The 16,133-nt window shown below is 43.4% G+C and overlaps 1 protein-coding gene across 3 annotated transcripts in view; it reads right to left on the bottom strand.

Moving 5' to 3' along the window:
- NOMO2 (NODAL modulator 2) overlaps positions 1-7,395 on the bottom strand; it is a 62,186-nt gene extending 54,791 nt beyond the window's left edge. For 2 of the 3 annotated variants that reach the window (NM_173614.4, XM_017023156.3), the window contains exons 1-3: positions 7,159-7,380; positions 2,985-3,074; positions 90-135 (exon numbers count right to left, since the gene is read on the bottom strand). In NM_173614.4, coding sequence (NP_775885.1) covers positions 90-135; positions 2,985-3,074; positions 7,159-7,323 — 301 coding nt within the window. In that variant the 5' untranslated portion in view covers positions 7,324-7,380. Of the gene's footprint in view, positions 1-89; positions 136-2,984; positions 3,075-7,158 lie in introns of all 3 variants that reach the window. The other variant, NM_001004060.2, reaches the window with a different exon arrangement.
- Positions 7,396-16,133: the final 8,738 nt, after the last annotated feature.

Consider the following 16,133-nt stretch of genomic DNA (forward strand, 5'->3'; position numbering starts at 1 on the left):
AATAGTTTATGCACTCTGCTAGCCTAAATTAATATTCGGCATATCATCTAATCTTTTACAAAGAATGTCTAGTGATTCAGTTAACTTACCAAAACTCCACCCTAGGGGAGGCTCAATCTTCAGAATGAAATCCCCCTAAAAGGAAAAAAAGAAAATGTAATTTCAAGAAATGAGAATTGTGACTCTGGCTAAATTTAGTTTAGTGTTATCATTTAATCTAAAATTTTTTTACACCGGAAATGAAATTCTAAGAGTAAGCCTTGTTCTTCTACATGGTACTGAGCACTGATTCTCTTCAGAAGCTACAAGCTGAAGCTGAACACCAGAAGTTTTCATCTAAACAATCAGAAGACAGTGCTGAAGCCCATTCATGAGTTCTAAAGACACTAGGTTCAGCCACTCACTGTCTTTTAATACTAAACATACTATAATTCTATTAATTGAGTCTCCCATTAAGCCCTCACATGCCTACAGTTGCACAAGTTAGCATGTATCTTCAGGAACTAAAGTCACCCCCTAAAACTAGATTTGGCCAGGCACAGTACCTCACACCTATAATCCCAACACTGTGGGAGGCCAAGGCAGGAGGGTCACTTGAGGCCAGGAGTTCAAGACCAGCCTAAGCAACATAGCAAGACCCCATCTGTACAAAAAATGTTCTTAAAAAATCAGCTGGGTGTGGTGGCAGGCGCCTACAGTCTTAGCTACTTAGGAGGAAGAGGCAGGAAGATCACTTGAGCCCAGGAGGTCAGTGCTGCAGTGAACCATAATTGTGCCCCTGCACTCCAGCATGGGCAGCGGAGGGAGATCCTGTCTCTAAACAATACATTAACTCATTAATTCAATAAATAAAACTAGATTTTACTTATCAACCCTGGTTTCTTTGTTTCTGTTTTAGTTTTTTTTTTTGAGATGGAGCCTCGCTCTGTTGCCCAGGCTGGAGTGAAGTGGTGCGATCTTGGCTCACTGCAACCTCCGTCTCCTGGGTTCAAGCGATTCTCCTGCCTCAGCCTCCCAAGTAGCTGGGACTACAGGCATCCACGTGACACCCGGCTAATTTTTTTGTATTTTAGTAGAGACGGGGTTGCACCATGTTGCCCAGGCTGGTCTCACACTCCTGAGCTCAGGCGATCCACCTGCCTCAACCTCCCAAAGTGCTAGGATTACAGGCATGAGCTACCACGTCCAGCCTCCTGGTTTCTTGAGACTGATACTGATACTATTTAAAAATTAATTAAATAGATTTCAGGACAGACCCAGCTAGTCCATCTCTAGAAATCAGTCCTATGCATTCTGGATGAAGAGTTAAGTTCAAGAATATTTCCTGGTGTGTTATGTTAAAATTACTATTATTTTAAAATTGGGGAAAGTCTATATGTCCAAGTAGTTAAATAAATTACAGTTTGGGTTTGACTCTGACACACTATGCAGCGATTAAAAAGAAGTCAGTAGGCTGAGCATGGTGGCTCATGCCTGTAATCCCAGCACTCTGGGAGGCTGAGGTGGGCGGATCACCTGAGGTCAGGAGTTCAAAACCAGCCTGGCCAACATGGTGAAACACCATCTCTACTAAAAATACAAAAAAAGTTAGCTGGGCATGGTGGTGGGTGCCTGTAATCCCAGCTACTTGGGAGGCTGAGGCAGAAACCCAGGAGGCAGAGGTTGCAGTGAGCCGAGATCGCGCCACTGCACTCCAGCCTGGCTGACAGAGTGAGACTCTGTCTCAAAAAAAAAAAAAAAAGTCAGTAGATCTATCTATGCTAATGTTGAAAGCATGCAAGAGGAAAAAACCAAATGTCCCTCTGGTATTGAAAGCATTAACACAGGGGAAAAAATGAAACTGCAGAATAAATCCTATTGTTTGATTTCATTTGTATTAAAAAATATATCAAAATCAAAACTATGTGTATTGACTATTTTTGCAACTTCCTATGAATCTGTATTTCCAAATAAAAGGTTTATAGGTGGGAGGATGGGATTGTATAGAGGTGTTTGTGGATACATATCGATGTGCATGTGTGCTTGTGTGTATTTCCATGTATACATATGCATGTGTACCCGTGGATACCTGAATAACTATAAATAGAAAGCAATCTGTTAGGATGCCCATCAAAATTTTATAAGAGGGCCGGAAACATCGGCTCACACCTGTAATCCCAGCACTTTGGGAGGCTGAGGCAGGTGGTTCACTTGAGGTCAGGAGTTCGAGACCAGCCTGGCCAACATGGCAAAACCCCGTCACTATTAAAAATACAAAACATTAGCTGGGTGTAGTGGCAGGTGCCTGTAATCCCAGCTATTCGGGAGGCCTAGGAAGGAAAATGGCTTGAACCTGGGGGGTGGAGGTTGGAGTGAGGCAAGATCACACCACTGCACTCCAGCCTGGGCGACAGAGCGAGACTCCATCTCAAAAGAAGAAAAAAAAAACAACAAAAAAAACCTTTATCAGATTATCAGAGGTTATCACTACAGAGGGAGGTAAAATTGGAGGGAAAAGGGTACAAATTTATTTCACATACTTCTAAAGACCTTGACTTTCTTTTTCACAAAGTTCATGAATTCATGTATTACTTGTACAATTGTTTTAACAATACTTTAAGCTGCTTGCAAGTAACGGGTTCCATGAAATCAGGGTTTCTCAGCCCTGGCACTACTGACATCTGGGCTGTCGTAGGCAGCACTGTAGCGCATTTAGCTCCACGCCTGGCCACTACTCACTGGGTGACTGTAGCGCACAGCCACAGATGTCACAACAAAAACGTCTCTAGACATTGCCAAATGGCCCTAAACACAGAGAGAGCCACTGTATTCGTCAAGGCAGTTTGTAAGTTGTCTCCCTCCAAATGTGACTAGGATTATCATATTCCACTAATAATTTACAAAACAGATGAGCATTTGCTAGTGTAGGAAAGGGCATGGTTAATGCAGCCTGGTGAGGCACACTAGTGACTTCCCATCATAAGTGACAAGCAGTCCCCTCTTACCTTATCATACAAAGGGATCATAAAGTAACCATTATTAGGGGCACAGTCTGTCTGGTATTTCAAAGTCCCATGCTTGGTGTACAGCTTTATCTGGAAAGGAAGGAAGGAAAACAGAAATCATAACATTGCCTTTGGGAATTAACTACACATGTTACACCTGAATGCACTCAGTCAGTATACATTCACTGAGGACCTACTATATACCAGCTTTTAACACGGGGCATTACTGGGGACAGAGGGAAATCAACAAACTCTCTCCCAAATCATGTGACTCAATGTTTTTCAGATTAGAAACCACCTACAGCCTATTACAATGCCTTATTTTTCAATGCTTTCCTGTTTATTTTAGTGGCTGTCTCTAGGTTGCTCGTGTAAGTTTCCGGGTCTAAAACAAATTTGCAAACTTTGCCATTAGTAAGGTGCTTATTAACATGCAAATTCCTGGCTGGGCACGGTGGCTCATGCCAGTACTCCCAGCACTTCAGGAGGCTGAGGTGGGCAGATCACTTAAGGTCAGGAATTTGAGACCAGCCTGGCCAACAAGGTGAAACCCTGTCCCTACTAAAAATACAAAAAAAGTTACCCAGGCATGGTGGCAGGCACCGGTAGTCCCAGGTACTTGGGAGGCTGAGGCAGGAAAATTGTTTGAACTCAGGAGGCGGAGGTTGCAGTGAGCCAAGATCATGCCACAGCACTCCAGCCTGGGAGACAGAGCAAGACTCCGTCTCAAAAATAATAATAAAAAAAAATAAAGTAAAATAAATTGCAAATTCCTGGGGCCCACCTCTATTTCTCAACTAAAGGTCTGGAATGAGGGCCAGAAATCTTCCTTACTAACTCTGAATAATTTCAAATACTTGGAGCAACATTCATCTAGAAACTTAATTTTCTCATTACTTTCATTCTCTGAAGAAAAAGAGACTAAAAAGACATTTAATATCTGTCCTCTCTTCAAGGACTCTCTAAAACTCTTACATTCTGAGCATTACCAGACACGAAGTGTTAACCCAGTAAGATGCCCAAATGCCATCTGAGTCTTCCACGTGTTGTGTGGCCTTGGGCAAGCTCGTGTTCGGTTTCTTCAGGTGTAGACACAGAGCCGCTCCTTTTCATGTGGTTGTACAGATTCACATCAATGCATATTAAGCACCTGCTACAGAATATGGATTCAAAGAAAAATCAGTTTGCGGCCAGGCATGGTGGCTCATGCCTGTAATCCCAGCACTTTGGGAGGCCAAAGAAGGAGGATCACCTGAGCCCAGGAGACCAGCCTGGACAACACAGCCACACCTCATCCCTACTAGAAAAAAAATTAGCTAGGCATGATGGCACGTGCCTGTAGCCTCAGCTACTCAGGAGGCCGAGGCAGGAGGACTGCTTGAGGCCAGGAGTCAGAGGCTTTGGTGAGCTATGATGGTGCCACTATACTCCAGCCTGAGCAACAGTGTGAGACCCTGCCTCAAAATAAAACAAAATAAAATAAGTAAAATGGAAAAAGCAGTTTGTATTACTGTTTAATATCTCTCTCTGAAGAAAAAGGCAACACAGTGTAATACGTAGGGAACATACTGGGCTCAAGGAAAATTTCCTAAATGTACCTGCACAGCTCAACCACTCTGAGGCTCAGTTTCCATGTCTGTAAAAGGAAGCAGTTGGGTCTGATGCACCTAAAAGCCTCACCTCCAAAATGTTAATGCTCTATGACCATGAAACAAACCATGACACGAGCCGCAATGAAACAGTCGAATCTTACCAGCTAAGAAGATGTACAAAGTGACTAACTCATAAAACGAACATTTGAACATTTGGGAAAGGACTCGTGTGAAATAAGGTTAAGCCTGTATGTAAAGTTCTCTGAGGTCAGTGACCACAACTTCATTCCCCAGTGCCTGAGACAGTGTCTTGCTTACTCTAGGTACTCAGTGAATTTGCTACAGGTGACAAAGAGATTCAGATGCATGCATTTAGTGCAGGGACTGGAAATTCACCAGCCTAGACCGGTTAGGGAGGCAACATCAAGGGACATTCATCCAAAAGGATTCAGATCACTACAAAACCCAAGCCAAGGGTGGCAGCCTAAAGATCGGCTGGTTTTCCAGAGAAATAAAGAACCCAGTTTTTAATGTGAAACCTGCTGATTGTTAAAGTATTAGCAACCAGTATAATTTTTTTTTTTTAACAGTAAGGTCCCTGTTAGAGAACAAAATGTCAGTCTCATGAGAGTATGGAGTTTTGTCTGTTCTGTTCACTGTACTGCTATATCCACACTGGGGACAAGGCTTCAGTATGTGCCGGGGCTCAGTAAATAGTTGTTGACTCAATGAACACGATGTAAAAACACTCAGGATGGGAGAAAGCTAGAGAAGAATGGCGGCAGTTGCATAGGAACACAAAAAACACAATCAAGAAATAACCGTGAAATATCATGATTATTTCTACATCTTTCATAAAGTACAATCAGGACACAGGATGGCAATGTAATCTACATCAAGATGGCCAGTATGAAATGTCTGATTTCAGAATCTGAATTACTTACGAAAGAATGAGTGTCCCACACCATCTGGACAGGCAGCCCTTGGGCTTAAGGAACACACTTTGAAATGGGTCACAAAACCTGTTCTCTGCTCTCAAGGTCACTATTAGTATGAGGGTGAGGGTGGAGGGGGGTGCCTGTCTTTTCCTTCCTTCCAGAACCCCTGGAAACTACAAGTTGCAAGAGGCCTTACTGGCCTCTTGCATTTCAGCTTCTGAAATGCCCTGTGCCGTCTACAGCCATACCACCCTGAACGTGTCCTGTCCCCAGTGCAGACCTAGGAGGTGGCATGGGCACCCAGAAACATGTACCCAGGAAATCCTAGGAGCCCTGCCGCTGCCAGTGGGTATTCATTCAATGCCTGACCTCTGACCTCTTCAGCCTGAAAAAGCAGCAAACAACGGGGCCTTGAAGAAGATCACGGATCCGCTTGTTAAAGAAATGTATCTGCTGGGTTCCACTGTTTCTCTCCCAACACCATCCTATAGGTACAAAAACTGAAACCTAGAGCAAGGGCAGGTCGCAGAGCTGATGGGGTGTGGAACTGACTCCCTACCCCTCCCCCAATCCTCAGCAGCCCGCTTTGCAGAACACAGAGCTTCACCCTTCACTGCCAGCCCTGGAACAGCTCAAAGGTGCTTTCAGACGATCTTTGGGGTCTTATTCCCCAATCCCTCTCTTTGGCATTTCCCAGCCTCTTCCTTCGTTTTCTCCTAAATTACCTCCGAGGCACCCGCTCTTTTCCTCTTCCTTGTCCTACCCCACCATAAATCCCCGCCCAAAAATGAGGCCCAGGCCTTGCTCTGGTCCCCTCCCATCTACCGGGACAAATGACATTCTGCCCCTACCTCCATCCATCCCTTTCCTCTTTACGGGAACCTTTCTGGGTCATAATCCCACCGGGCTGATAAACATTTAACAGGACTTTACAACTTAATTAAAAAAAAAAAAAAAAAAAAAAAAAAAAAAAAAACCTTTACAAATCTCTAGGGTAATTCCATTAACTACTCATTAAGGCAATCAGGGCAGCTGGCAACTCTCCATTTTCAGAAGTGGAGGGGAGCCGGAGAAATAAAAAATAGCTTTCCGGCCCTAGGGTTGCCAATACTGATCTACTAGGTCAGAATCTATGGGATGGGAATTGATGCTCTTTAAAATCATGCCGCGGGGTTTGGAGGAGCAGTGGATTAGAACTTCGGGGGGTTCTGGGCTGTGGAGTTTGGGGGATAAGACATGTGGTCTCTAGGTTCTGGAATGTGGGTTTGGGGAAATCTGAGTTTCAGGGGGTCTGATTCGAGGAGATCTCAGGTCTAAGTTTTAAAGAAATGGAGTCTGGGCTCCAGGGAATTTAGGGTCTGGGTTTTGAGGATCTGGGGTCTGTGTTCCGCGGATCTGGAGTCGGGGTTTTGAAGAACCTGAGGTCTGGCACCCCTCAGTCCTTAGACGACCCCATGATAAGAACCTCCCCTCCAGCGCGACTGGGGAGGGGCTGCAGGGAGCCCGCGGACAGCATAGCCTCGGAAGAGGTAAGGGCTCCAAGGACTCCACACCGCCCGGTGTCAGAGACGAGGCCAGCGCGGCCCAGAGAGGCTGAACCACCGGCCCGGCGACTCGGCGCCGGGCGGCGGGGCGGGCGCTCACCTCGATGAGCGAGTAGTTGATCTCCACGTCCGACTTGACGAAGCCACCGCAGCCCACCACGATGTCCTCCGAGCCGTGCGCCGGCCCCACGCCGCTCAGCAGCAGCACCACCGCGGCGGTGACCACCGCGGGCCCCAGCAGCCCCGCGCCCTGGCCCACCAGCATGGCCCGACCTCCCCCAGCTAGACCCACCGCCGGCAGCCGGGTCCCGCCCCTCACACTGCACGCCGCAGGCTCCTTCCTCCTCCTAGGCCGGCTGACAGCCCAGGCCCCGCCCCACCGCCGCCGCCAGAGCCGCCGCGCACGCGCGCTTCGACGCCACGTTCACAGCCCCAGAAGAGAGAACTAAGGCGCATGCTCGGCAAGGAAACGAGACCATCTCTGCCTTCTAGAGGCCTGGAGGACTCCGCGCGACATCTGGCAGGTGCAACGCAAGGTGCATGCCTACAGGGAGAAGCTCCAAAGATGAATTCTACTTTAGAATTCACCATCACAGCTGGAAAGGACGGGAGATTTTGTTGGTGGAATTATCTAACAACTTTCTCAAATCTTTCTGACCCATATATTTCGCAGGTAAAATATATAATCTCACAAAAAGCTTTAGGGCCGGGTGTGTGGCTCACGCCTGTAATCCCAGCACTTTGGGAGGCTGAGGTGGGTGGATCGCTTGAGCCCACGAGTTCGAGACCAGCCTGGGCAATATGGCGAAACCCCATCTCTACACACACACACGCACACGCACGCACACACACACACACACACACACACACGAAAAACGCTTTAGGAATTTGTGTAAGCTGGTGTATTTTTCCATGATAAATGATCGATACTTTTTTAAGCGAAACGTGTTAATGTTAGCATATTAAAGAAAGTATGTAAGATTTATTTTAATCCTAGCTCTAATAACATATGCCTAGAAACAAATTTTGATGAGTTTTCTTCCCCTAAGCAAGAAGTGCATGCAGTCAGTATACTTTGAATTAGCTCTGCAAGATGAAACATGATTTGCCTGAAAACAAGCTCAAATCCAGCATATTTTGTCCCAAGAGTGAATTCATATGTACACTGAATTTAACTACCAGTCACCACATCAAAATACACACCAAAGAGGCCGGGCACAGTGGCTCACGCCTGTAATCCCAGCACTTTGGGAGGCCAAGGCTGGCAGATCATGAGGCCACGAGATCAAGACCATCCTGGCTAACACAGTGAAACCCCGTCTCTACTAAAAATATAAACACTTAGCCGGGCGTGGTGGCGGGCGCCTGTAGTACCAGCTACTCGGGAGGCTGAGGCAGGAGAATGGCGTGAACCTGGGAGGCGGAGCTTGCGGTTAGCCGAGATCGCACCACTGCACTCCAGCCTGGGCGACAGAGCAAGACTCTGTCTCAAAAAAATAAATAAATAAAATTTAAAAAACACCAAAAAATTGCTTTTCTAACCTAATATTAGGATTTCTTCCATTTTGTCTCAAAAAAAAAAAAGCTAGTGCTTTATTTTGATAGGTTTTGTATTTTGTTTCCAAATGACAAAGTAAGACTGAATTTCCCGCTGCAATTTGCCGTTGTGGCTAAAACTTAAGCAATAAACAACTAAGAAGCACAGGTTCAAACCATACAGTAGTCAAACCTTCATGGGGGCAAGGAGGGAATGAAGGGAATGACACATTGACCTCAGGGTCATAATCATGAGTGCATCTGATTTCAGCTTCTCTTGCTGCATTTTCACTCAAATACAGTAGACTCTCAACTATTCAGTGATAATGAGAAACCATTTAAATAATTCGTCTATTTATTGGGGTTTGTTATTTATAACCACAATTGAAATAGATGCCTTTTATGCAAATCACCAGAGGATTGAAAGCCACCAATTAGAAAGTGTAGGCCTATGGAAACCTTTCATCTTACAGAATGGGAAACTGAGGCCCAGAGAGGAAAAGGAAGTTGTCTAAGACTCTGCATGCAGCCATAGGTTTTCCCGGAGCTAGAGAGCAGGAATTGGGGCCAGAAGCCGTGGCTTACTACTGTAATATGAACATGTTGGGAGTCCGAGGTGGGCAGATCATTTGAGGTCAGGAGTTCGAGACCAACTTGGCCAACATGGCAAAACCCTGTCTCTACTAAAAATACAAAAATTAGCTAGGTGTGGTGGCGCATGCCTCTAATCCCAGCTACTTCAGGAGGCTGAGGCAGGAGAATCACTTGAACCAGGGAGCCACAGGTTGCAGTGAGCTGAGGTCTTGCCACTGCACTCCAGCCTGGGCGACAGAGTGAGACTCCATCTCAAAAAAAAAAAAAAAAAAAAAAAGCAGGAAGTGGGATCCCCAAGTTTTGTTCTGGACTCACCTCAATTGATTTCTGCTGTGTTCTTCTTGACTTTCTGACTACTTCCCTCAAATTCATCTTCAAATATAGAAAGAAATGAAGCACCAGGACTGTGACAATGCCAATTCATGGGGGTGGGATTGGGGAGTGGCTTGCAGAGAGACAGGGATTTAGCTTCCCCATAATTTCCATCAGTTTCCACCAAAACCAGCTCAGATAAGCAGACATGATTTACATGGAAACAGTAGACCTGCCACACTGAGCTTCATGACAAATCCTTGGGTTCTTTCTGTCCTGAAGCTTCCAGAAGACTCAGGCAGAAGGACAGCTGAAGGGGGCAGGGGAGGGGGTGCTCCCTGGGCCCAATACTGGATTTAGAGTGATACAAAAAGATCGGGGAAAACACGCTGTGGGGTCCCTGCAGAAGGCAAGAGTAGAAGATGAGGACAGGACCCCGAGAATTAGCAAGGCAGCATGGAGAGTGCAGAGGATTTTAATTCTTCTCCCAAACTGAGCACCTGTGCTTGTCTGTCTAAAAGAGCCGAATATTTCATTCCTATCTTGAAACAAGTACTTGCTCACTGCAACAACAAAGAAATTGGAAAAGAAAACTAGGATTCCCCAAGATCACTGTGTTACCACATTTCCATCTTTTTATCGATGGATTTATGCTAGTATGACATCGAGTCATTTCTAAGAAGTGGTGGCTGGGTCTTTGACACTTTGCTTTAAGACCGAAGAGAGAGCTGGGCATGGTGGCTCACGCCTGTAATCGCAGCACTTTGGGAGGCCTAGGCAAGAGGATGGCTTGAGGCCAGGAGTTCCAAAGCAGCTTGGGCAACAAAGTGAGACAAGTCTCCACAAAAAAATTTAAAAATTAGCCAGGCTTGGTGGTGTGTGCCTGTAGTCCCAGATACTCCAGAGAGGCTGAGGTGGAAGGTTGCTTGAGCTCAGGAGGTCAAGGCTGCAGTGAGCCATGATGGCACTACTGCACTCCAGCCTGGGTGACAGAGCAAGAACCTGACTCAAAAAAAAAAAAAAGAGACGGAGAGAGAAAAAGACTCAAGAGAGGAAGGTAAATGCCTTGGCCTTCTTCTCCATGTTCCCTAATTTAGGCATATCCTTTTCTTTTTTGCTTTAAAAAAACCAAAGCCTATTTTATATTATAATCTCTTTTATTCAATCATCATTTAGCAACCACCTTTTCATATTCATATATGTCTTCAATGGCATTTTGTTTGCTTGTTCTGAGACAGAGTCTCGCTCTGTCACCCAGGCTGGAGTGCAGTGGCACAATCTTGGCTCACTGCAACCTTCGCCTCCCAGGTTCAAGCGATTCTCCTGCCTCAACCTCCTGAGAAGCTGAAACTACAGGCACGCACCAAAACACCCAGCTAATTTTTGTATTTTTAGTAGAAACGGGGTTTCACTATGTTTGCCAGGCTGGTCACAAACTCCTGACCTCAAGTGATCCGCCCTCATCAGCCTCCCAAAGTGCTGGGATTACAGGCATGAGCCACCGTGCCCAGTTGCAATGGCATTTTAAACCACTGGTTAGTAACCCATGGCCTCAATTATAACAGTAACAATAAAAGCTAAGTCTTCTGAGCATTTAATGTATATCTGGCAGTGTGCTAAACGCTTGCATAATCTCACTAAGTTCTCCCCACCACTCCACGGGTAGACAGTGTCCATTCCAGCAGTGAGGGGACTGTGACGTGGTCTCCATCCTATCTCCCTCGGATATTATGAAAAATATCACAGAGTGTACACCCACTGTGATATTAGGAGAAAGCTCTCCCTTGGGTATTAGAATAATATCACAGGGTGTACACTCACTGTGATATTAGGAGTAAGATCTCCCTTGGATACTATGAATAATATCACACAGTGCACACCCACTGTGACGCGGTACACCCACTGAGATATTAGGAATAATATCTCCCACGGATATTAGGAATAATATCTCCCTCAGATATTATCACACCCACTTTGATATTGGAAGTAATATCTCCCTCAGATGTTATGAATAATATAGAAGGGTGTACACTCACTGTGATATGGAGAGTAATACCTGCCTCAGATATTACAAATAATATCATAGGGTGTAAACCCACTGTGATATTGGGAGTAATATCTCCCTCGGATATTATGAATAATATCCTAGGGTTTACAAACATGGTGTACACCCACTATGATATTAGGAGTAATATCTCCCTAAAATATTACTAATAATATTACAGGGTGTACACACAGGGTGTACACCCACTGTGATATTAAAAGTAATATATCTGTAAAATATGAGTACACCCACTATGATATTAGGAGTAGTATCTCCCTAAAATATTACAAATAATATCCCCCCAGTATATAACAGATAATATCATAGGGTGTACACCCACTGTGATATTAGTTATAATAATATCTTCTTGGGATATAAGGAATAACATCACAGGGTGTACACCCACTGTGATATTAGGGGTAATAATATCTACTTAGCACATAACGAATAATATGAGAGGGTGTACACCCACTGTGATATCAGAGGAAGTAATATCTCCTCAGGGTGTACACCCACTGTGATATTAGTAGTAATATCTCCCTAAAATATTACGAATAGTATTACAGAGTGTACACACAGGGTGCACACCCACTGTGATATTAAGGGTAATAATATCTCCAGAAAATTTGACACACCCTGTGATATTAGCAGTAATAACATCTCACCAGGATATAATAAATAATATCACAGGGTGTACACCCACAGTGATATTAGATGTAATAATATCTTCCCATGATGTAATGGATAATATGACAGGGCGTACACCCACTGTGATACTAGGAGTAATAATATCTCCCCAGGATATAACGAATAATATCACAGGGTGTACACCAACTGTGATATTAGGGGTAATAACATCTTCCATGAATATAACGAAGAATATCACAGGGTGTACAACCACTGTGATAATAGGAATAATATGTCTCCAGGATAAAACAAATAATATCACAGGGTGTACTCCCACTGTGATATTAGCAGTAATGTTTCCCTCGGATATTGCAAATAATATCACAGGGTGTACATCCACTGTGATATTGAGAGTAATATCTCCCTTGAATATTATGAATAATACCACAGGGTGTAAACCCACTGTGATACTGGGAGTAATATCTCCCTCGGATATTATGAATCGTATCACACGGTGTACAGGGTGTACACCCACTGTGATATTGGCAGTAATATCTCTCTCAGATATTATGAATAATATCACAGTGTTTACAAACATGCTGTACACCCACAACGATATTAGGAGTAATATCTCCCTAAAATATTACAAATAATATCATAGGGTGTACAAACATGGTGTACACTGACTGTGATATTTGGAGTAATATCTCCCTAAAATATTATGAATAACATCACAGGGTGTAAACACAGGGATACAGCCACTGTGAAATTAGGAGTAATATCACCCCAAGATATAATCAATACTGTCACAGTGGGTACACACACTGTGATATTATGGGTAATAATATCTCCAGAAAATTTGACGAATAATATCACAGGGTATACACCCACTGTGATATTAGGGGTAGTAACATCTCTCAAGGATATAACGAATAATATGACAAGGTGTACATCCACTGTGATATTATGGGTAACAATATCTCCCTAGGATGTAACGAATAATATCACAGGGTGTACACCCACTGTGATAATAGGAATAATAATATTTCTCAAGGATATAACAAATAATATGACAGGGTGTACATCCACTGTGATATTATGGGTAATACTATCTCCCCACTACATAATGAATAATATCACAGAGTGTACACCACTGTGATATTAGGGGTAATAACACCTTCCCCAAATATAACGAATACTATCACAGGGTGTTCACCCATTGTGATATGAGACATAATAATATCTCCCCAGGATATAACAAATAATATCACAGGGTGTACACCCACTGTGATATTAGAGGAAATAATATCTTCCCAGGATATAATGAATAATATTACAGGGTGTACACCCACTGTGATATTAGAGGAAATAATATCTTCCCAGGATATAATGAATAATATCACAGGGTGTACACCCACTGTGATATTAGAGGAATTAATATCTCCCCAAAATATAATGAATAATATTACAGAATGTTCACCCACTGTGATATTAGGAATAATAATACCTCCCCAGGATATAACCAATAATATCACAGGGTGTACACCCACTGTGCTATTAGGAGTAATAATATCTCCCCAGGATATTACAAATAATATTACAGGATGTACACCCACTGTGACAATACAGGTAATATCTCCCAGGATATTATGAATAATAGCACAGGGTATACACTTACTGTGATATTAGGAGTAATAATATCTCCCCAGGATATAATGAATAGTGTCACAAGGTGTACAGCCACTGTGATACTAGGAGTAATATAGTAGTATCTCCCCAGGATATAACAAATAATATCACAAGGTGTACATGCACTGTGATATTAAAGGAAATAATATCTCTTCAGGATATAATGAATAATATCACAAAGTATACACCCACTGTGATATTAGGGGTAATATTATATCTCCAAGATATAGTGAATAATATCACAGGGGGTACACCCACAGTATATTAGGGGTAATAGTATATCCCCAGAATATAACAAATAATATCACAGGGTGTACACCCACCGTGACAATATGGATAATATCTTCCAGGATGTTACGAATAGTATCAAAGAGTATACACCCACTGTGATATTAGGGGCAATATCTCCACAGAATATTACAAATAATATCAAAAGATGTACATGCACTGTGACATTAGGGGTAATATCACCCAAAAATATTACAAATAATATCACAGCATGTACACAATGGTGTACGTTCATTGTGATATTATGATATCCATAGGGTATTACAAATAATATCACAGGGTGTACCCCCACTGTGATATTAGGAGTCATATCTTTCTGGGAGGTCACAGCGTGTACACACATGGTGTAAATTCACTGGGATATTAGGAGTAATATCGCCCTAGAATATTTCGAATCATATCACAGGGTGTACACCCACTGTGATATTAAAAGGAATATCTTTCTAGAACATTACAAATAGTATCACAAGGTGTACACCCACTATGAGATTAGGAGTAACATCTCCCTAGAATATTATGAATAATATCACAGTGTGTACAGGCACTGTGATTTTAGGAGTACTACCTTCTTAAGATATTATGAATAATATCATAGGGTATACACCCACTGTGAAATTAAAAGCAATAGCTCCCTACGATATTATGAATAATATCACGCAGTGTACACTCAAGGTGATATTAGGAGTAGTATCTCCCTAGGAAATTACGAATATTATCACAGAGTGTACACCCACTGTGATATTAAAAGTATTATCTTTCTAGGATATTATGAATAATATTACAGGGTGTACTCCCTCTGTGATATTAGGAGTTATATCTCCCTAGGATATTACAAATCATATCACAGGGTGTACACCCACTGTGGTATTAGGTGTAGTATCTCCCTAGGATATAACAAATAATATCACAGGGTATACACCTACGGTTATATCAGGAGTTATATCTTCATAGAATATTACGAATAATATCACAGGGTGTCCACCCTCTGTGATATTAAAAGTAATATCTTTCTAGGATAGTATGAATAATATCACAGGGTGTACTCTCACTGTGATATTAGCGGTAATAACTCCCTAGGATATCACGAATTCTGTGACAGAGTGTACACCCACTGGAGTAATATATCTCTAGCATATTATGAATAATATCACAGGTTGCACACCTACTGCGATATTAGGAGTAAAATCTCCCTCGGATATTATAAATAATATCACAGTGTGTACTCCCACTGTGATATTAGGAGTAAAATCTCCTTCGGATATTATGAATAATATCACAGGATGTACACCCACTGTGATATTAGGAGTAATATCTCCCTTGGATATTTCTAATAATACCACAGCGTTTACACACATGGTGTTCACCCACTGGGATGTTAGGATAATATCTCCCTTGGATATTACCAATCGTATCAGAGGCTGTACACACGTGGTGTTCACCCAGCGTGATATTAGGAATAATATCTCCCTCGGATATTAGGAACAGTCTCTCCCTGGGACTTAGCAGAACGTAGCCCCCCAGTGTTAAATAAGCGACCACAGCAAGAGGTAGAGGCGCAGGGACTGAAATGAAGACAAATATCTGACAAGTTTAAAACACGTATTTAAAATAGAATTTATAAAATGCTTAATCTGCCGACTCAGGAGCCCGCGGTGCAGGGTGGGGTGGGAGTTGGCAGGTGACCGCTACACCAGCAGAGTAAGACTGCAGGGCTGCGGCCCTCCCTCCTATGCCCTTCTGTTCAGACACCCGAGGGGCTCATGTGCACTCCTGGGATCATACGACCAGAAAACAGGACCCTAGAGGTTTCTTGAGTTTCTGCTTACCAGGGCGGCTGGGTATAGCCCTGCCAGCCCATTGCATAATCTTCTAAGTTCTCCCCACCACCCTCCATTCCAGCAGCGAGGTGCCTGTGATGCGGTCTCCATCCTCTCGGCCTCGACCCGGTGGTCCCCGCGATTGGACGCTTAGGCGGTCACCAGGCC

The sequence above is a fragment of the Homo sapiens genome, chromosome 16, assembly GCF_000001405.40.
Source record: "Homo sapiens chromosome 16, GRCh38.p14 Primary Assembly".
In the NCBI taxonomy this organism is placed as follows: domain Eukaryota; kingdom Metazoa; phylum Chordata; class Mammalia; order Primates; family Hominidae; genus Homo; species Homo sapiens.